Genomic DNA, 20,883 nt, shown 5'->3' on the forward strand with positions numbered 1-20,883 from the left:
GGTTTTTTGAGACAATGTCTTGCTCTGTCGCATAGGCTGAAGTGCAGTAATGCTGTCACAGCTCCCTGCAACCTTGAACTCCTATGCTAAATAAAGTAGTCCTCTTGCCTCAGCCTCTTGAGTAGTAAGGACTACAGCTGCGTGCCACCACACCTGGCTAAGTTTTAACATTTTTTATAGAGACGGGATCTCACTATGTTGCCCAGACTGGTCTTGAACTCCTGCCCTCATGCAATCCTCCCACCTGGGCTTACCACAGTCCTGGGATTACAGATGTGAGCCACCATGCCTGGCCAATACATGTTTTTTGTTTTTTTTTTTTTTTTTTGAGACCAGGTCTCGCTCTGTCACCCAGGCTGGAGTACAGTGGCATGATCTCAGCTCACTGCATCCTCCGCCTCCTGGGTTCAAGCAATTTTCTTGCCCCAGCCTCCCCAGTAAATGGGATTATAGTTGTGTGCCACCACGCCTGGCTGATTTTTGCATTTTTTGTTGAGATGGGGTTTTACCATGTTGGCCAGGCTGGTCTTAAACTCCTGACCTCAGGTGATCTGCCCCCATTGGCCTCCCAAAGTTCTGGGATTACGGGCGTGAGCCACTGTGCCTGACCTGGGTTCTTTTTTTTGAGACGGAGTCTCTCTTTGTCCCCCAGGCTGCAGTGTGGAGTGCAGTGGCATGATCTCGGCTCACTGTGTCCTCTGCCTCCCGGGCTCAAGCCATTCTCCTTCCTCAGCCTCTTGAGTAGCTGTGACAACAGGCATGTGCCACGACACCTGGATAATTTTTGTATTTTTAGTAGAGATGGAGTTTTACCATGTTGGCCAGGCTAGTCTCCAACTCCTGACTTCAGGTGATCTGCCTGCCTCAGCATCCTAAAGTGTTGGGATTATAGGTGTGAGCCATTGTGCCCAACCTCAATGCATGTTTTTAAAGAATTTCCTTTTCAGAGATGATAACATTACCCTGATCGTGCTTTTTTCTTTTCTTCATATTTATTTTTTTAATTGACCAAAAAAATATATTTATGGGATACAACATGATGCTTTGCAATGTGTATACATTGTGGAATGGTAAAGTGAAACTAGGTAGTGTGCATTACTTCACATCCTTATTTGTGGTTAGAATACTTAAAGTCTACTCTCTTAGCAATTTTTAGGTATTTAATACATTGTTATTAACTATAGTTATCATGTGGTACATGATCATGCTTTAATTCGGAAAAAAAGGAAGAAAAACCACATGATAATGAAAGGTAAGATTTAATTAAATTCTCAAAAGCAACATATGGTATGATTCTATTTATATGAAATGTCCAAAATAGGCAAGTAAATAGAGATACAAAGTAGATTAGAGGTTTCTTGGGGTGAGGGGGAGGTAGGAATGGTGAGTGATTACTAATGATCTTGGGTTTCTTTTAGGGATGATGAAAATATTCTAGAATTAACCAGTGATAAAGCCTTATGAATATATTGAAAACCACTGAATTGTATACTTTAAAAGGGTGAATTTTATGGTATGTGAATTATATCTCAATAAAAAATAATTAAATTGTACCAAAATTGATGTGTAAAGCCTCAGCACTTTACAGTATAATGCTTTTTTTTTGTTGCTGTTCTGTTTATTGCTCAGGTAGCTTATTTGTGTTCTATAGTTTTATTATATGTAAATATGTCTAATATGTCAAATATTTGCTGAATATATTTCATATATACTTACAATAAAACTATAGAACACAAATACTTGATGGCCTGCTGTGTGTATGTGTGTTTAATGATAGACACTGGTTGGGCACAGTGGCTCATGCCTGTAATCCCAGTGCTTTGGGAGGCTGAGGTAGGAGCATCATTTGAGCCCAGGAGTTCAAGACCATCCTGGGTGACATAGTGAGATCCTATCTCTATAAAAAAACTTAAAAATTAGCCAGGCTTGGTGGCACATGCCTGTAGTCCTAACTACTTGAGAGACTGAGGTGGGAGGATTGCTTGAGCCTAGGAGTTTGAGGTTACAGTGAGCTATGATTGTGCCACTGCACTGTGGCACAATGGTCTCACTGTGTCACCCAGGCTGTATAGTGTGTATATATATATATATATATATATAGTCTCTAGATACAGACAGTAAATAGAATTGTGTCTGTTATTAAAATATTATAGAACATACTGGGAAATTCTCAGAAATTCGAATTTGTTTTTCTTATTTCAGTGCTAGAATTTGTGTGTGCTGGGCCAGTGGATAGAGAAACATGGTTTAATATCTTGAAGTGCTGCACCCTACTACTGCATTTTGTTCTCCTTGGTGTGACATTCTTTAAACTTACTGAATTTTATTTAGTTTTAAAATGTTCTTTGTTTTAGTATTTCAAGTTTTTAAAGTTTTATAACTGGGGGAGGAAATATAGTAGTGTTTTAAAAGTCAAAAATGAGCCACTAAATTTGGAGAGAAACTTATTCACGGAGGGAATGAGGATGTGATGGAACAGTGAGCCCTTGTTTATTATTGCTTAGCCACCTGGAGTGGAATTTTGCCAGTCCTGCAATCCAAGTAAAGCAGCCAAGGTTTCCATGGTTTGAGTTTAAATTGAGCAAAGATTAGTGCCTTATTTGAAACTTGGTTGAAAAAAGAAATGCCAACAGTGACTGAAGAATGTTAACATAAAACTTAGAGATTATAATCAGCTATGTAGAGAAAATATGAAATAGTTATTAAACAGTTGCAAGGTATGCTGTCATGTATACATACTGTCTCATTTGATCTTCATGTTAATTCTGTGAGGCAGAATTGGAATTATCCCCCATTAACTAAAGAGGAAACAGCTTAAGGTGGCCTAGCTAATAAGTGATAGGTAGATTTTTGAACCTAAGCCATTTAATTTCACCACCAGTGTTTCTTTAACTGTACTATTGAAGGATTATTTGCTCCCTTTAGGAATTAAGTTTTTTTCCAATGTCTCATATTTGGATACATGGGGGAAATATTGGTCGAAGGCAGGGAGGGGTAGAGTTGTTTAAAAGCCATTTTGATTACCTCACACTTGCTCAGTTTTCATCCAGTTTTCTTCTGTTCTGTCTCAAGTTGTTTTAAGGTGATTCTCTTGTCTTAATTAGTGTATGGTGTTCCTTAGTGTTCATTTTGGTCAGTTTTTTTCAGTTTTTTTCCCAGGTTGTTTTAGGGGTTTTCTGCCTTTGCCTGGGAGAATTATTCTGAGGAGGTTCATACCAAGAGTTAAATTATATTGAAACTTTCCAAAAAGTAATTTTTACGGTTGGTTTTTGTATTTACTTTGTTATTTTACATTGATAGAATTAATTTTCAGCTTTCCTGAGACTTCAAATGATTAACCTGTCTGTTGTTCCTTTACCAAGTATTTTTTCCTTCCAAATGTTAACTTTTTTTTTTTTTGAGACAAGTCTTACTCTTGTTCCCCAGGCTGGAGTGTGATGGTGGAATCTTGGCTCACTGCAACCTCCGCCTTCTGAGTTCAAGCGACTCTTCTGCCTCAGCCTCCCGAGTAGCTGGGATTACAGGTGCCTGCCACCACGCCCAGCTACTTTTTGTGTTTTTAGTAGAGACGGGGTTTCACCATGTTGGCCAGGCTGGTCTTGAACTCCTGACCTCAGGTGATCCACCTGCCTCGGCCTCCCAAAATGCTGGGATTATAGGCGTGAGCCACTGTGCCCGGCCCCAAATGTTAAATTTTTAAATTCCTTCTTGGCTGGGCGTGTTAGGTTATGCCTGTAATCTCAGCACTTTGGGAGGCTGAGGCAGGAGGATCACCTGAGCCCAGGAGTTCTAGAGCAGCCTGGACAACAAAGTAAGACCTTGTCTGTTAAAAAAAAAAAAATCCTTGTTTAGTAAAGGAATGGAATTCTTTAAACGTCTAGGAAGAAACTTTTGTGGGCTCTTTTTTTTTTTTTTTTTTTTTTTTGGCAGAGACACTATTGCTGGATTATCTGACAGTGAATAATTGAAGAAAGTGGTATATTACTACCTTCTAGTTAGTACCAATAAAGTATATAAAAAACTAGTTTTGCTTCAGCGTATTTTTAAGGCAGTCTAATTCTTCCATGAGATTTAATGGCTGATTAGGCTTGCTAGTCCAAATCTTGTCATTTCTTTTCTCTGATTCTCATATTAAGTCTTGGTTTGGGCTATATGATTAAAATCATTAATCCATTGGCAGTATGCCAAGTTCCAATTGGGGAATCTGGTGCTTTCTAACAGAAGCCTTTTTGTATTTGGTTTTTTGGAAACATACACAAAAGAAAAACACAGAGAAACTTTTCAGTTCAGTATGTCTCTCCTCCAGAGCCTAGCAGCCTCTGCATTCTGTTTTTCTAGTCTAATATTTATGCTTTTTCCCCTTGGTGTACTTTCTTGTTCATATGTCACTTATAATTCTTTTATAAAGTGTAGTCTCAAGTTTCTTCTGTTAATGAAATGACTCCCTTCAGTGCTCAAAGCACTTCAAATGTGTGCCTAACAACATCATTTAGTAGGAAGTGGTACTGTTCTTAAACACCCAAACCCGTGCTTTCATGTGGTTCTTTTTTATTGCTCTTTAGCCTGTGTTATTTTTTCGTTCATTGTTTTTTGAAAGTTACATAGTGTGGGTTTTGTTTTGTTTTTTTTTTTGTTTTCTGAGATAAGGTCTTGCTCTGTTGCCCACGCTGGAGTGCAGTGACATGATCATGGCTCACTGCAACCTTGCCCTGCTGGTCTCAAGAGATCCTCCCACCTTAGCCTTCCAAGTAGCTTGGGGAGTAGCTGGAATTACATGTGTGCACCACCATGCCTGGCTAATTTTTAACTTTTTTTTGCAGAGGTCTCACTATGTTGTCCAGGCTGGTCTTGAACTCCTGAGCTCAAGTGATCCTCTTGCCTTGTCCTCCCAAAGTGCTGAGATTATAGGTGTGAGCCACTGCACCTGACTGAAAGTTACATAGTTTTAATTTGGTGCAATGACTAAGTTGGACTCTACATTTTCATTATATTTGTGAAACTATAGAGGACTATAAACTTTTGAGTAAATAAAGGGGTTTCATGCTGAGAAACATGAATGACTTTATACTGATGAATACTTTGGCCAGCAATGTGAGTCATGTACTGTAAAGATATATTGTTTTTTAAAGTAACAGTTTTATTGAGATATAAATTACATACCATACAATTAGTCTATTTAACATGTACCATTTAGTGGTTTTTTTGTTCATTCACTACAACCATTACCACAATTGATTTTAGAATATTTTCATCTCACTGCTGCCCCCAAAATCTCATACCCATTTAGCAATCACTCCCTCTCCCCTATAGCTCTAGGCAAGTGCAAATCTACTTTCTGTCTATATATATTTGCCTATTCTGGACATATAATATTAATGGAATGATACAATAGCCAGCCTTTTGTATCTGGCTTCTTTCACTTAGCATAATGTTTTCAGGGTTCATCCACGTTGTATCCTATAACAATACTTCATTCCTTTTTATGGCTGAATAACATTCCGTTACGGATATACCATGTTTTATTTACATATTCAGTTCATCAGTTGTTGGACATGTGGGTTGTTCACTTTAGTGCAATCACGTTGGCCTTCTCTCTGTTCCCCAGATTACCAAGACCCTTCCTGCCTCAGAGCCTTCAGACATGCTGCTTCCTGTGCTGTAAGGCCAACTCCGCCCATCAAATGCAGCGAATTTTTGTTGATCCTTTAGCTCTGGACTTGATTGTCACTTCCTCAGGGAGGTTTCTCCTGGTAGAACCCACCCTTCCCAGAGCTAACCAGCTCTCCTATAATGTGTTTCCCGCAGCAGCCTGTGCTTTTCCTCTATAGCACTTACTAGTTGTTGGGTTGTTGCTGTATTGTTTGGTGTCTGATTCCCTCTCCAGACTCTGAGTTCTGTGACGGCAAGAACTGGTTCACTGTTATCCAGCTCTTAGCATAGTAACTGGTACCTGGTAAACACTCACAATGATTTGAATGAATGAATGCGCAAATTAATACTGCAAACCAGGCAGAGGGGTACAAAACTGAATAAGATATGGCCTTTGATTTCAAAGAATTCATGATTTCATGTGAGTTGTAATAAAATATAGAACTGGGACTCAGGAAAGAGTTTGAGGTTAGAAATGTATATGTAGTTATATGAGAAGAGCCTACCATTTTACTTTCTCCTTCTTGGCTCTTGCTCTGGTTTAAATGGTTTTATGAAACTATAAAACCATTGAGATATAATTCACATAACATAAAACCTACCATTTTAAAGTGTACAGTAAAATAGTTGTGAATGTATTTACTATGTTGTGTGGCCATCATCCCTATCCAAATTCTGGATTTCTGAGAATTTCCCAGTATGTTCTATAATATTTTAATAACAGACACAATTCTGTTTACTGTCTATATAGAGAGAGACCATATATATATTTATGGCCTTACTGTGTATATATATGACCTCACTGTGCAAACACACTGGTCAATTTATCCAGCATTCAATGCTTTGGAGTTGCTACCTGCTTTAGATGCTTCTTGGGACCACGAGCCATGGCTGCATTAGGCAAGGAAAGAGGACCTGCATCTTCCCTCTTTTTTTTTTTTTAATTTTTATTATTTTATTTTATTTTACTTTTTTGAGACACTCTTTCTGTGTTGCCCAGGCTGGAGTGCAATGGTATAATCTCAGCTCACTGCAACCTCCACCTCCCGGGTTCAAGTGATTCTCATGCCTCAGCCTCCTGAGTAGCTGAGATTACAGGTGCGAGCCACCACGCCTGGGTAATTTGTATTTTTAGTAGAGATTGGGTTTCACCATGTTGGTCAGGCTGGTCTCGGACTCCTGGCCTCAAGTCATCTGCCTGCCTTGGACTCCCAAAGCGCTGAGATTGCAGGCATGAACCACTGTGCCCTGCTAGAGTTCCCTGTATTCCCCTTTATTGGAGCATTTGCACATAACTGTTAGTCTGTCTTCCTCCTCGCACTAGAAGCTCCTTAGAGACTACGTATGTCTTATTTTATGTGGGACTCCTCCCATACCAGATGTTGACTGACCTGTAGTAGACAGGTAACAAATATTTGCATATCCACAGATACACGGTGAAAGACAGGATCTAGAATAAGAGTCTTGAGCTGCAGTTCAGCTCAAAGACATATTGATGCAGACATTGCTACACTTCATACAAACAGCAAAGATGATCTGTTCTCTCCCCTTTGTACACAAATGGTTGATCTGTATACACTGGTGATCTGTATACACTTGGTGATCTGTATACACTGGTGATCTGTATACACTGGTGATCTGTATGCACTGGTGATATGTATATACTTGGTGATCTGTATACACTTGGTGATCTGTATACACTGGTGATCTGTATGCACTGGTGATATGTATATACTTGGTGATCTGTATACACTGGTGATCTGTATACACTGGTGATCTGTATGCACTGGTGATATGTATATACTTGGTGATCTGTATACACTGGTGATATGTATACACTGGTGATATGTATACACTGGTGATCTGTGTATACTTGGTGATCTGTATACACTTGGTGATCTGTATACACTGGTGATCTGTGTATACTTGGTGATCTGTATACACTGGTGATCTGTATACACTGGTGATCTGTGTACACTTGGTGATCTGTATACACTGGTGATCTGTATACACTGGTGATCTGTGTACACTTGGTGATCTGTATACACTGGTGATCTGTATACACTGGTGATCTGTGTATACTTGGTGATCTGTATACACTGGTGATCTGTGTACACTTTGTGATCTGTATGCACTGGTGATCTGTGTACACTTGGTGATCTGTATGCACTGGTGATCTGTATACACTGGTGATCTGTATACACTTGGTGATCTGTATACACTGGTGATCTGTGTACACTTGGTGATCTGTATGCACTGGTGATCTGTATACACTGGTGATCTGTGTACACTTGGTGATCTGTATGCACTGGTGATCTGTATACACTGGTGATCTGTGTATACTTGGTGATCTGTATGCACTGGTGATCTGTATACACTGGTGATCTGTGTATACTTGGTGATCTGTATACACTGGTGATCTGTGTATACTTGGTGATCTGTATACACTGGTGATCTGTATACACTGGTGATCTGTGTATACTTGGTGATCTGTATACACTGGTGATCTGTATACACTGGTGATCTGTGTATACTTGGTGATCTGTATGCACTGGTGATCTGTATACACTGGTGATCTGTGTATACTTGGTGATCTGTATACACTGGTGATCTGTGTATACTTGGTGATCTGTATACACTGGTGATCTGTATACACTGGTGATCTGTGTATACTTGGTGATCTGTATACACTGGTGATCTGTATACACTGGTGATCTGTGTATACTTGGTGATCTGTATACACTGGTGATCTGTGTATACTTGGTGATCTGTATACACTGGTGATCTGTATACACTGGTGATCTGTGTATACTTGGTGATCTGTATACACTGGTGATCTGTGTATACTTGGTGATCTGTATACACTGGTGATCTGTATACACTGGTGATCTGTGTATACTTGGTGATCTGTATACACTGGTGATCTGTATACATTGATCAGCACTTGTTTTTTTTCCCCCCATTTTGTCTTTTTGTTTATTTTATAATATGATATATACAAAATAATATTTGTAGGATATATGAAAATTATAAAGCATAATAAAATGAACATCTGTGAACCTACCACTCATCTTGGGAAACACATCAGTAATGTTGCCTCAACCTCTTTGCTCTTCTCTTTTGTCATTTCCCTGCCTCCTCCCGAGAGGAAGCCACCATCCTGAATTTTATGTGCATTTTCCTCTCACATTAGAAAAAAGTTTTGTCATATATGTATATCTTAATGTATGATTAATTTTTACTCTGGAGACATAAAAATAGGATCATGCTGTATATGGTCTTTTCTGACTTGCATTTTTCACTGGACATTATATAATTCTTCGTGTTGTGTACCTTCATGTCATATCTTGGTGATTAGTTCAGATTAGCACATAAAGAACTCTTTTTTTTTCTTGTTACAGCTGTGTATATGGTCAGTACATCATATAATTTAATAATAAATACTTTGCAGCATTTTTTTCCTTTTTTTTCTTTATTTTTAGCTATCTCCTACAGGAAGGAAGCATTTTTTTTCTTTAGCAAGATTCTTTCACATATATTTCTTTATTCTTATTCTTAGAACCTTGAAAACCATTCGGTATAGTGTATGGTATATGAAATTCCGGAAACCCAAGATTGAATTTCTTTATTTTGTTTGACATTATACCTTGTGTGAAAACACTTGAATACTAATGCTTTATGCACTATTTTCTATGAAAACTATAGATTTTATACTTAAAAAAACTGGTAAAAATATATAATGTAAATTTATCCTCAACAGTTTTAAGGCTATAGTACAGTATTTTTAACTGTATGCACATTATTGTACAACAGAACTTTAGAACCTGTTTATCTTGCATAACTGAAACTCTACACCTTTTGAACAACACCTCTTTTCCTTTTCCCCCTGGCCCTGGCAATCACCATTCTACTATTTTTTTAAAGTGTGTTTGATTACTTTAGATACCTTCTATTATAAGTAGAATCATGCTGTATTTGTCTTTTTTGATTAGCTTATTTCACTTAACATAGTGTCCTCAGGGTTCTTCCCTATTGTCACCTATGAGAGCATTTCCTTCTTTTTTTAAGGCTGAATAATACTTCATTGTATGTATATAACACATTTTCTTTTTCTTTTCTTTTTTTTTTTTTTTTGAGACAGAGTCTCACCCTGTCGCTCAGGCTGGAGTGTAGTGGTGCGATCTTGGCTCACTGTAGCCTCCACCTCTGGGGTTCAAGTGACTCTCCTGCCTCAGCCTCCTTAGTAGCTGGGATTACAGGTGCCTGCCACCATGCCTGGCTAATTTTTGTATTTTTTGTAGAGACGCGGTATCACCATCTTGGCCAGGCTGGTCTTGAACTCCTGACTTCAAGTGATCCACCTGCGTTGGCCTCCCAAAGTGTTGGGATTACAGGCGTGAGCCACTGTGCCTGGCCCTTATTTTCTTTTAAAAAATTTAAAAAAAAATTTTTTTAAACTTTAATAGTTTTGGGGGAACAGGTGGTTTTTTTGTTATATAGATAAGCTATTTAGTGGTAACTTCTGAGATTTTGGTGCACCTGTCACCCAAGAAGTGTACCCTGCACCCAATGTATATCACATTTTCTTTATCCATTTATCCCTGGATGGACATTTAGGTTGCTTCCACATCTTGGCTATTGTGAATTATGCTGTAGTGGGTATAGGTGTGCAAATGTCTCATTAAGGTCCTGTTTGCAGGTCTTTTGGATATATATCCAGACGTGGGATTGCTAGATCATATGGTAGTTCTATTTTTAACTTTTTGAGGAACTTCCACACTGTTTTCCATAGCAGCTGCACCATTTTACAATCCCACCAACAGTGTGCAAGGGTTCGAATTTCTCCACATCCTAACAATAACACTTGTTATTTTCTGGTTTTTTTGATAGTGACCATTCTAACAGGTGTGAGGTGATATCACACTGTGTTTTGATTTGCATTTCCCCAATCATAAGTGATGTTGAGCATCTTCTCATATGCTTGTTGGCTGTTCGTATATATTATTTGGAGACATGTCGAATAATTCCTTTGCCCATTTTAAAATTCGCTTATTTGTTTTTCTGTTATTGAATTGTAGGAGTTCTTCATGTATTCTGTTCTAAACTCCTTGAACTGTTTTCCTACAGGCTATTTCTTAAAATTATGAAGCCCTTTGTGATTTGGTCTTATATTTGCTTTTCCAGCTGTATATCTAGCCATTTCCCCTCAGGAACCCTATGATTCACCACAGAATCCACTTAGAATCACTTCTTGTTCTCAGAGCAAGGCTATCTGCTTTTGTGCACATGTCATTTCCCCTGTGTGGCATATCTTCCACTTAGTGTTTTGTGGGGTGTGGATAGAGTTGGTGGTGGTGGCCTTGGAAATGTTCTGCATAGATGGCATTCATCCCATAGATGGCATTCATCCCATAGATGGCCTCCACCTACTGAGTTCTACAAGCAGTTTGGTATGGTGGGAAGAGCTAGCATTTGAGACAGAGTTGCGCTCTGTCACCCAGACTAGAGTGTGAATTTGTACAGCAGCATGATCACAGCTCACTACAGCCGTGAATTTCTGGGCTCAAATGAGACTCCCACCTCAGCCTCCTGACAAGCTAGGACTATAGGCACAAACCACCATACCCTACTAATTAAAAAATGTTTTTCTTTAAAGACAGGGGTCTCACTATGTTGCCCAGGTTGGATTTTTTTTTCCCCCTCAGACAGAGTCTCACTTTGTCGCCCAGGCTGGAGTGCAGCAGCACAGTCTTGCCTTCATTGCAGCCTCCACCTCCCAGGCTCAAGTGATCCTCCTGCCTCAGTCTCCCGAGTAGCTGGGGCTAAAGGCACATGCCAACATGCTCAGCTAATTAAAAAAAATGTTTTTGGTAGAAATAAGATGTCGCTATATTGCCTATATTGGTCTCGAGCTCCTGGTCTCAAGCAATCCTTCCACCTCAGCCTCCCAAAGCATTGGAATTATAGGCCTGAGCCACCACACCTTGCTGAGCTTGAGTTTAAACTTTGGTTTTGATATTTACTAGCCATGTGAACTTTGTAAATGTACAGTTGACACTTGAACCCACATAGTTGAAAATCCAAGTATAACTTTTTTTTTTGAGACAGAATCTCTCACTTTGTCACCTAGGCTGGCATGTAGTAGTGCGATCTCCCACCAACTTCAGCCTCCCGGGCAGCTAGGACCACAGATGCATGCCACCATGCCTGGCTAATTTTTAGTATTTTTGGTAGAGACAGGGTTTCACCATGTTGCTCAGGCTGATCTCAAACTCCTGAACTCAAGCGATCCACCTGCCTTGGCCTCCTAAAGTGCTGGAATTACAGGCATGAGCCACTGTGCCTGGCTTCCAAGGTTAGCTTTTGACTCCCCCAAAACTTAACTCCTAATAGCCTACTGTTGACTGGAAGGCTTACCAATAATATAAACAGTTGATTAGCACATATTTTAATGTAAAATGTATTATGTGCAGTTATTCTTATGATAAAGTAATCTAGAGAAAAGAAAATGTTATTAAGAAGATCATAAGGAAGAGAAAATGTATTTACTATTCATTCAGTGGAAGTGGATCATTGTAAAGGTCTTTATCCTCATTGTCTTCTTGTTGAGTAGGCTGAGGAAGAGGCGGAAGTTGTTGGTCTTGCTGTCTCAGTGGTGGCAAAGGCAGAAGAAAATCCAGTCCACATTTAAGTGGACCCTCGAAGTTCAAACCTATGTTGTTCAAGGATGCTCAGTTTTTTGGAACCTGTATTTTCTGATCTCTAAAATAGGGGCAATAATTAACCTTATAGGACTAATACAAAATTTAAGTGAGAAATAACATATAAAATGCCTAGCATATAGTAAGTCTTCAAGGTGATAGTGATAAGGCAAAAAAGAAAAGCAGCAGCAATTGCTGCTTCTGCTGCTGCTGCTGCTTTCCCTCCATGGGATCACTTGTATTTGATGGGGCCGTGGGAAATGGTGTTAGACTGAGGCAAGGTACTAAAGGCAGAACACAAAGGAGCTCTTTCTACTCCTGGAGGACTGGTTTGCCAACTACAAATTAAAGTTAGAGATCAGGTGAAACTTCGGCCTGCGGACAGCTGGTGACTTTTTTCATATAGTGAAAAAATGGTTTGTTCATATCTTTCTAAAAAGAAATGCTTCGCTGATGTTATTCTGCTGCCCATGCCTGCCTCCTCCAGTACATCTTCCATGTTATTCCAGGATATGGCTTTTTTTTTTTTAATTTTCAAAAAAAATTTTTTTTTTTTTTATTAAGTGTCTTGCCCTGTCTCCAAGGCTGGAGTGCAGTGGCATGATCATGGCTCACTGCAGCCTTGACCACCTGGGTACAAGCAATCCTTCTGCCTGACCTTCCTGAGTAGCTGGGACCACAGGCATGCACTGTTGTGCTCAGCTAATTTTTAAAATTATTATTTGTACAGACCGGGTCTGTCTCTGTTGCCCAGGCTGGTCTCAAACTCCTGGGCTCAAGGAATCTTTATGCTTTGGCCTCCCAAAGTGCTGAGATTACATAGGCATGAGCCACTGTGCCTGGCCTGTTTTTTATTTTTATTTATTTATTTATTTATTTATTTTTGTATTGTTATACATATTTATTTATGTATTTTTTATTTTTATTTTTTTAAACATTGTTTATATTAATTTAAAAAATAAATAGAAATGAGGTCTTGCTATATTGCCCAGGCTGGTCTCAAACTTCTAGCCTTAAGCAGTTCTCTTGCATCAGCCTCCCATAGTGCTGGGACTACAGGAGTGAGGCACTGCACTGGTGCAGAATGTGGCTTTTAAAATGAAGAGTGTGTCTGTTACTACCTTCAACTCTTTCAGTCCAGATAAAGTCCTAACTCCTTAACATGAATGATAAATCTCCTAATGATCAGTCTTCACCTACCTCACTGGCTTGTCTTTCACTGTGTCCCAAGTAATGGAAATTTGCCTTTTATGTGTGTGTGTGTGTGTCTGTCTGTCTGTCTGTCTAGCATCTGAACTTTTTTCTTACATTTGGGAAATTCTACAGAGTCTTGGTGGGGAACAGGACCTGTCTCACACCTCAAAATCTGGAAAGTTCAGGTACTCATTTTTCCCTGTTCCTTGGCAGCTAGAGCACAGGAATGTGACCCAGGCTCAGCCAGTAGAACTTTGAATCTGCAGTGAGTGACGCAGAAGATCATGGACAGGGGCAGTGGTAGCAGTGGTAATAGTGAGGGTGCTCTCATGTTATACAGGCAGTGGTGTCTTCACCAGACTGTTCCCGTGAGTGGTTCAGCCGCAGTTCTGGCTGCCTGCTCTACCTTGATACCAGCCTAATTTCAGAGCCTAGATTTTTCTAGCCTTTGCGTTAGATCTGTGAGGTTACCCATTGTTTTTCCAATAAATTCCTTTTGTTTTTAAAGGAACCCAAGGTGGTTCCTGTTACTTGCACTTACACGAAGAGCCTTAGTTATACCACCCTCCAGCACCAGGTGCCCCATTCACATTAAATACTCACAGTTCTTCCAAACTAACCATGCTTGCCTCCACTTCGGGGCTTTCTCACATTCTGTTCTACCTGGAATACCCTTTATCCCATTCTTGATCTGTTTGACTCTTGATGCTGCTTGAGAACTCAGCTCTGTTGTCCTGTCACTCTTTCTGCGAATCTTTCCCCAGATGTCAAGATTGTGTTAGCTCCTCAGTGCTCCCACAAAATCCTCTGCTTATCTCTATTACAGTACTTGTCACACTCTGCTGTAATTGTCTTTACATTCCTTGGGAACATAGGCCAGTATTATGTTGAGTATCTTTGTACTGTCTTTGGCAAATAATAATTATGATCTAAATTTTATTTGTCAAATGAGTGAACAATTCTATTGAATTATACACTGTTAAATTATACAGTTATATTAAAATTTATTTGCATATCTGTTTTCCCTAATAAACTGTGAACATTTTAAGAGCACAGACCTAGTTCTTCATCTTTATATCCTTAGTTTATAGGATATAAAAGTGCCTCCCAGCACTGTGGGAGGCTGATGCAAGAGAACTGCTTAAGGCTAGGAGTTTGAGACCAGCCTGGGCAATATAGCAAGACCTCATCTCTATTTATTTTTTAAATTAATTAAACAATGTTAAAAAATAAAAACAAAAAATAGGCCAGGCACAGTGGCTCATGCCTATCTAATCTCAGTACTTGGCTCGTAGTAGATGCTGAGGAAACACTGGATACGTGAACAAATGAATGAATGGCAGGATTGTTGTTTTAGAATTTCAGTTAAATAGTTTTCCCCAAAAGAAGGTATCTTCTTCCTTTTTTTTTTTTTTTTTTTTGAGATAGAGTTTCGCTCTTGTTGCCCAGGCTGGAGTGCAATGGCGTGATCTCAGCTCACTGCAACCTCCGCCTCCCGGGTTCAGGCATGCGCCACCACGCCCGGCTAATTTTTGTATTTTTACTAGAGATGGGGTTTCTCCATGTTTGTCAGGTTGGTCTCAAACTCCTGACCTCAGGTGATCCGCCTGCCTCGGCCTCCCAGAGTGCTGGGATTACAGGCATGGGCCACCATGCCCAGCCTCTTCTTTGACCGTGTATGTAAAGATAATGTACCTGTACTTGGCTCATACTGAGTAATTGACATTCTCAGTTTCTTCCATGTGCTAGGATTGGTAGCCTGTTTATTAATAGGAAGATAGTGTATGCACATGAAACTGTAACTATTTGAGAGGTCAGTGCTAGGATTGGTAGTCTGTTTATTAATAGGAAGATAGTGTGTACACATGAAACGGTAACTATTTGAGAGGTCAGTATTTTATGTGCCAAGGGAGTGATATGGACAGATGTTGGTTCAGTGTCATGCTAAATGTAACATCTTAATTGAGCCACTGAAAGTGTAATACCTAAAGCAAATATGTAGGATATGGCTGTTGGTTAATTGGATTGATTAAAATGGGAGCCAAAGGAGGCTTTGTCTTTCTATTTTACTTGCCTTAGATACTGCTTATATCGGACTGATTTGTTGGAGTTTTTCCTTATTCCTTTTTAGGTCCAAGACAACTTTGACAAGATTGAATTCAATAGGATGTGTTGGACCCTCTGTGTCAAAAAAAACCTCACAAAGAATCCCCTGCTCATTACAGAAGAAGATGCATTTAAAATATGGGTTATTTTCAACTTTTTATCTGAGGACAAGTATCCATTAATTATTGTGTCAGAAGAGGTAAGGTGTGGCTTGGGGAGTTTTTACTTGGTCATTTTAGCATTTAATAGACCTGGCTTGGTATTTTTTCTGTTAATTCAGCATAGATATGGAAGGAGATCCTTGGCTAGTGTTTTTGGATCAGAGGCAAAGCAGCCTGAGTATAGAAAAGCTCCAAATATAGTAATTTGGGGCATGTAATACCCCTGGAGATTTACAGGGAAAGTGGGTTTCTTCTTCTCTAAATGGCTATGATGATAAGTGAATCTATCCTCACGTCCAAAGAGTATTCTGTACAAGTCACAACATAATTTTCATACTACTTGCATATTGACAAAACGTAACTGGCTGAGTGCTGGTATACATGGGAAACACATGAGATCCAGAATGTTGTTTTCAGGGCTGTTTTGTGTGAGTAAATACTATTCTTGTTTCAAAGTCCAGGGTGATGACTTTCCATACCTTTCAAAGTAAAAGAAAGAGAATGCTTGCTTTGTTATTTTCCCTAAACTTCCAAAGGAAAAAAATAATAGGAGTAAGGCTTCTGTGCTATCTAACTGTCCTAAAAAGTGACACATGTTAATACATGGTTATTACAGTAGAAAATTCAGAAAAGATTAATATACACAATTAAAATCAGCTGTAGTCCCCACACTTTAAAAAAAAGTCATCTATAATCCCTTAACCTTGGACAAATTATTTAACCTGCAAGTCTTCATTTTCTCATCTGTGAAATAAAGCCAATTACAATGTTTAGTCTAAGGGTTGTGAAATTCTGCATTTAAAGGGTTTAGTTTAATGCCTGGCACATAGTATGTACTCAGTAACTCTTAAGACTACTCTTATTACATGCATTTTTGCATACTAGTCTGATTATTTTCTTTGAATAAACTTCCAGCAGTGGAATTCTGAGTCTTAAGAAATGCACACTTTCAGGGTATTAGATGAACAAGGCAAAGTTGCCCTTCAGAAAGGCTGTACCAAGGCATTAAAGGGTGGGAAGGATTTTGGCCAATAGTGAAGGCAGAGGAGAATTCTGGATGGAAGCAACAGTAGGCAGTGTTTTATGAGTCAGGAAAGCAAAGGGCATGTTCTAAAAGGAGTGAGGGAGGTATCCAGCTTGACTGAGTTGCCAGTCAGGATGCTTACTTAGAAACAGCCACACTGGCTGATTCAAGCCAAAAGGGGATTTTTTTTTTTTTTTTTTTTTTGAGACAGAGTTTCGCTCTTATTGCCCAGGCTGTAGTGCAATGGCGCAATCTCGGCTTATTGCAGCCTCCACCTCCCAGGTTCAAATGATTCTGCACCCCGCGGAGTAGCTGTGATTACAGGTGCCTGCCACCACACCTGCCTTTTTTTTTTTTTTTTTTTTAAGAAACGGGGTCTTACTCTGTTGCCCTGGCTGGAGTGCAGTGGTGCAATCATGGCTCACTGCAGCCTCAACCTCCTGGGCTCAGGGGATCCTCCTGTCTCAGCCTACTGAGTAGCTGGGACTACAGGTGTACATCACCACACTCAGCTAATTAAAAAAAATTTTTTTTGCAGTGATGGGGTCTTGCCATGTTGCCCAGCCTGGTATCAAACTCCTGGCCTCAAGTGATCCCTTTACCTCAGCCTCCCACAGTGCTGGGATTACAGGCATGAGCTACTGTGCAGGGCCTAAAAGGGAATTTTTTAAAAGTATGCTGGATAGCTTACAGAATCATCATGATGGCTTAAAAAACAGGTGTGGAGGCTATGCAATTTGGTCTGTCCTATTTACTGTACTGGCCACTCCATGAGGAACAACAAGGAAAATGCTGCTCCCACCAGAGGATGGGTGTTGCACTTATACCATGGAACACATCTGGTCCTGGACACTGATTGCTGCCTGTATTAGTCCATTTTCATGCTGCTGATAAAGACATACCCAAGACTGGGCAATTTATATAAGAAAGAGGTTTAATGAACTTACAGTTCCACATGGCTGGGGAGGGCTTACAATCATGGCAGAAGGTGAAAGCATGTCTCACATGGTGGCAGACAAGAGAAGAGAGCTTGTGCAGGGAAACTCTCCTTTATAAAGCCATCAGATCTCATGAGACTTATTCGCTATTACGAGAACAGCACGGGAAAGACCTGCCCCCATGATTCAGTTACCTCCCACCAGGTCCCTCTCACAACACCTGGGAATTCAAGGTGAGATTTGGGTAGGGACACAGCCAAACCATATCACTGCCCCAGAACTCAACTTTTCCTGGAACTGTTCTTCCTATGAGGGAGAGTTCTCCATAGTGCCCACTTCCCAATTATCATCAGGGCATGATGTATCTAATTGGCATGGCCTAGGTCAGGCACTGTGCACTAGCTGCAACGGAGTCTTGGAAAGGATACATTTGCATTTTCAGCTTCTACATTGGCAGGTAGGGATTTCCCCAGACATAAGAAAAGGGTTAAATGCTGGGCAGTCAAAAAAGAATGATACATGTCCTTTCTTACTGGAACATGATGGCTGTGAAGAAGATAGGCGGTAGATGAAGCTGGAGAGTTTTGACTTTATCCTGTAGGCAGTGTGGAAAGATGAGCCACTGATGATTTTTGAGGAAGAGAGTGATAGGTGAATAGATGAAATATGGAGACATGGGAGGTGAGAAGTTGAGAGAAGCTAAGTGGCATTGAGGACTAAAATACAGCGAGAATGGAAAAGAAGGCCAGATGGGAAGAACCTAGAGGTCACAGGACCAAGCATATAGTGCCTGGCTGTGGGGAAGCAGAGACAAGTTTCAGGCCTGGGCAACTGGGGAATAATATAGTATATTTGTTTAAAGCATAGTCTCTGAAATCAGACTGACTGGTTTGAAACCCACCTCTACCACTTATTAGCTTTGTGACAAATTACTCACTCTCTCTGTTTGGGGTTCCCCATCTGTAAAATGGGGATAACTACTTTCTTCATTGGACTCTGTGAGGATTGAAAAAGTTGATGTATGTGAAACATTTATTAAAGTGCCTGGACCCATGGTAGCTGCTCACTAAAAGGGGTGTGTGTGAATGAATGGTAGGATGATGAACAAATCTGGGACATATTGCATGGTGGTGGGTTTGGTACATTTGGGATTTTAGGTGGAACATCCTTGTGGAGCTGTGCACTAGAAGTGTTTATCTACAGCTTGTGAGAGGCCAGGGCTGGAGACAGAGGTGGGGAAACCACAAGAGTAGGTTAGATCAGGGAGGAAGACTGTAGTTGGAGACATGAGTGCCAAGGACGGAACCTTGGGACCATTTCTGTAGCAGAAAGAGGAAGTCGATTTGGCAAAGGAAGCTGAATTGAACACGCTATGAGGTAGGAGAACTGAGAGAGTGCTGAGTCATAGATGTCTAAGAAACACAAAGTTTTAAGAAGCACAGAAGTAGTTACTGGCATTAGATGCTATGGAAAAATTAGACAATGGTAAGTGAGAAGTTGCCCTTGGATTTAACAATTAGGTGCTCGCTGGTGATCAAGGAGAAGGCAGTTTCGCTGTAGTGGTGGGAACAGTTTCTTAGTGCTTAATAACAATGATGTAATCGTGTATGTATGTTAAAAAGGAAATGAAAAATAAAACATGCTATGAAATTTTTGTCCAAGGAAATTGTCTAGCTTAATACAGAGGTGTATAGAAGGGAATGTCTGTAGAAAAGAATATCCCAGTGGTGGTTTTAAAACCTAGCTGCTGCTTGAAAGAATTGTGCAAATAAAATTTACAGTATTTTAGGCTAAGTGTGCTGGCTCAAGCCTATAATCCCAGCACTTTGGGAGGCTGAGGCGGGCAGATCGCTTGAGCTCATGAGTTCAAGACTAGCCTGGGCAACATGGTGAAACCCTGTGTCTACAAAAAAATACAAAAATTAGCTGGGCATGGTGGTGTGCACCTGTTGTCCCAGCCACTTGGGAGGCTTAGGTGGGAGGATGGCTTGAGTCTGAAAGGGTGGTTTGAGCCTGGGAGGTGGAGCTTGCAGTGAGCAGAGAGTGGCATCATGCCACTGCATTGTAGCCTGGGAGATAGAGCCAGACCTTGTCTCAAAAAAAAAAAAAAAAAATTACAGTATTTTAAAACATTTTGTAGTTATACTGTGTTCCACAATTAATTGTGTTTTCTTTGAAAAACTGGATGTGGGGTGGGTCTCTTACCCTTGATGTTTTGTTTTTTTCCATCACTAAAATATTTGGTGGACTTGAAAGTGACCTTGTCCTGATTTCAGAATTAGAAATTAGTGAGTGTTTTTATTGCCTTAGGCAGCACTTGCTTAATGTGGATGACATGTCAATGGCATTAAATCACCATTGAGCCACAGGCTGTGAAGGGAGCCAGTCAGCATCAGTTTTCTGACTATTGTGCCTAAGAAACTCAAAAGATTTGTGCTGCAGGCATCCCGAAGGATTGGGACCCACATGGGCCTTGATGTGCGTTTCTGTAGGCCAGAGCCCAGCCAAGGCTCCTGGCATGTTTTTCTTCACCTTTGCAGGCTAACAGAAATGTCTTGATTCTCTTTCAAATCAAGTTAATCTCATTTGAGAAGTGAACAGCCTTTCTTTGATTTGTTAGAATAGCCAGGCAGCATACCTTGTCATGTTACTGTTTGGACTCACTCTGTGCTTTGACAGCTTTTACTCTCTCATCATTTCTTCTGGTTAGAAGTAGAATTTGAGTTAGTTTTATAGATTTTCCTCTGGGGCCAGGAGTGCTTGTGTGGGGAAAGAAGGGATCATTGGAGTAGATTTATGTGAGATTGCTTTGTCTAGCTGCTGAATTACCCTCCTGAGGTTAATCACATGGATTTGTATTTATGAAGCTCTTAGCCTATCACCTGGCCTTTGACCAAGCACTGCAAACTCAAGGTTATGCTATATTATGAAAAATACATTCTCTGTTAGCTTTTGCTTCCTTTCTGAATAATAACACTTCAAAAACTATATTTGGACTGATTGTAGACTTACAGATTTTAATAAAATTTAATGTGAAAACAGATATATTTAAAAAATAAATTTTGAAGTATAATGTCATAATTTTTCATGAACATATAGGTGGGTTTAAC

General features: G+C 39.9%; 1 protein-coding gene across 2 annotated transcripts in view, besides 3 other annotated features; it reads left to right on the forward strand.

Moving 5' to 3' along the window:
* The window catches only part of SWAP70 (switching B cell complex subunit SWAP70), an 88,917-nt gene that overhangs the window by 33,714 nt on the left and 34,320 nt on the right, over positions 1–20,883 (forward strand). The window contains exon 3 of one of the 2 annotated variants that reach the window (NM_015055.4): positions 15,676–15,849. The exons of the other annotated variant lie outside the window; for it this stretch is intronic. Within the exon in view, the coding sequence (NP_055870.2) occupies positions 15,676–15,849 (174 nt within the window). The remainder of the gene's footprint in view (positions 1–15,675; positions 15,850–20,883) is intronic. 2 annotated transcript variants of the gene reach the window in all.
* Positions 4,431–4,490: an enhancer, noted in NCBI's record as "active region_4421". NCBI's record gives its function as "activates an Ori minimal core promoter by ATAC-STARR-seq in GM12878 lymphoblastoid cells {active_cell/tissue: GM12878}" and the evidence as "EXISTENCE:reporter gene assay evidence [ECO:0000049][PMID:35858748]".
* Positions 6,936–7,035: an enhancer, noted in NCBI's record as "active region_4422". NCBI's record gives its function as "activates an Ori minimal core promoter by ATAC-STARR-seq in GM12878 lymphoblastoid cells {active_cell/tissue: GM12878}" and the evidence as "EXISTENCE:reporter gene assay evidence [ECO:0000049][PMID:35858748]".
* Positions 13,894–14,394: an enhancer, noted in NCBI's record as "H3K4me1 hESC enhancer chr11:9733231-9733731 (GRCh37/hg19 assembly coordinates)". NCBI's record gives its function as "activates a minimal SCP1, AML or CMV promoter by ChIP-STARR-seq in naive H9 embryonic stem cells {active_cell/tissue: H9 hESC(naive)}" and the evidence as "EXISTENCE:reporter gene assay evidence [ECO:0000049][PMID:30033119]".

Source organism: Homo sapiens, chromosome 11 (assembly GCF_000001405.40).
Source record: "Homo sapiens chromosome 11, GRCh38.p14 Primary Assembly".
Taxonomy (NCBI): Eukaryota; Metazoa; Chordata; class Mammalia; order Primates; family Hominidae; genus Homo; species Homo sapiens.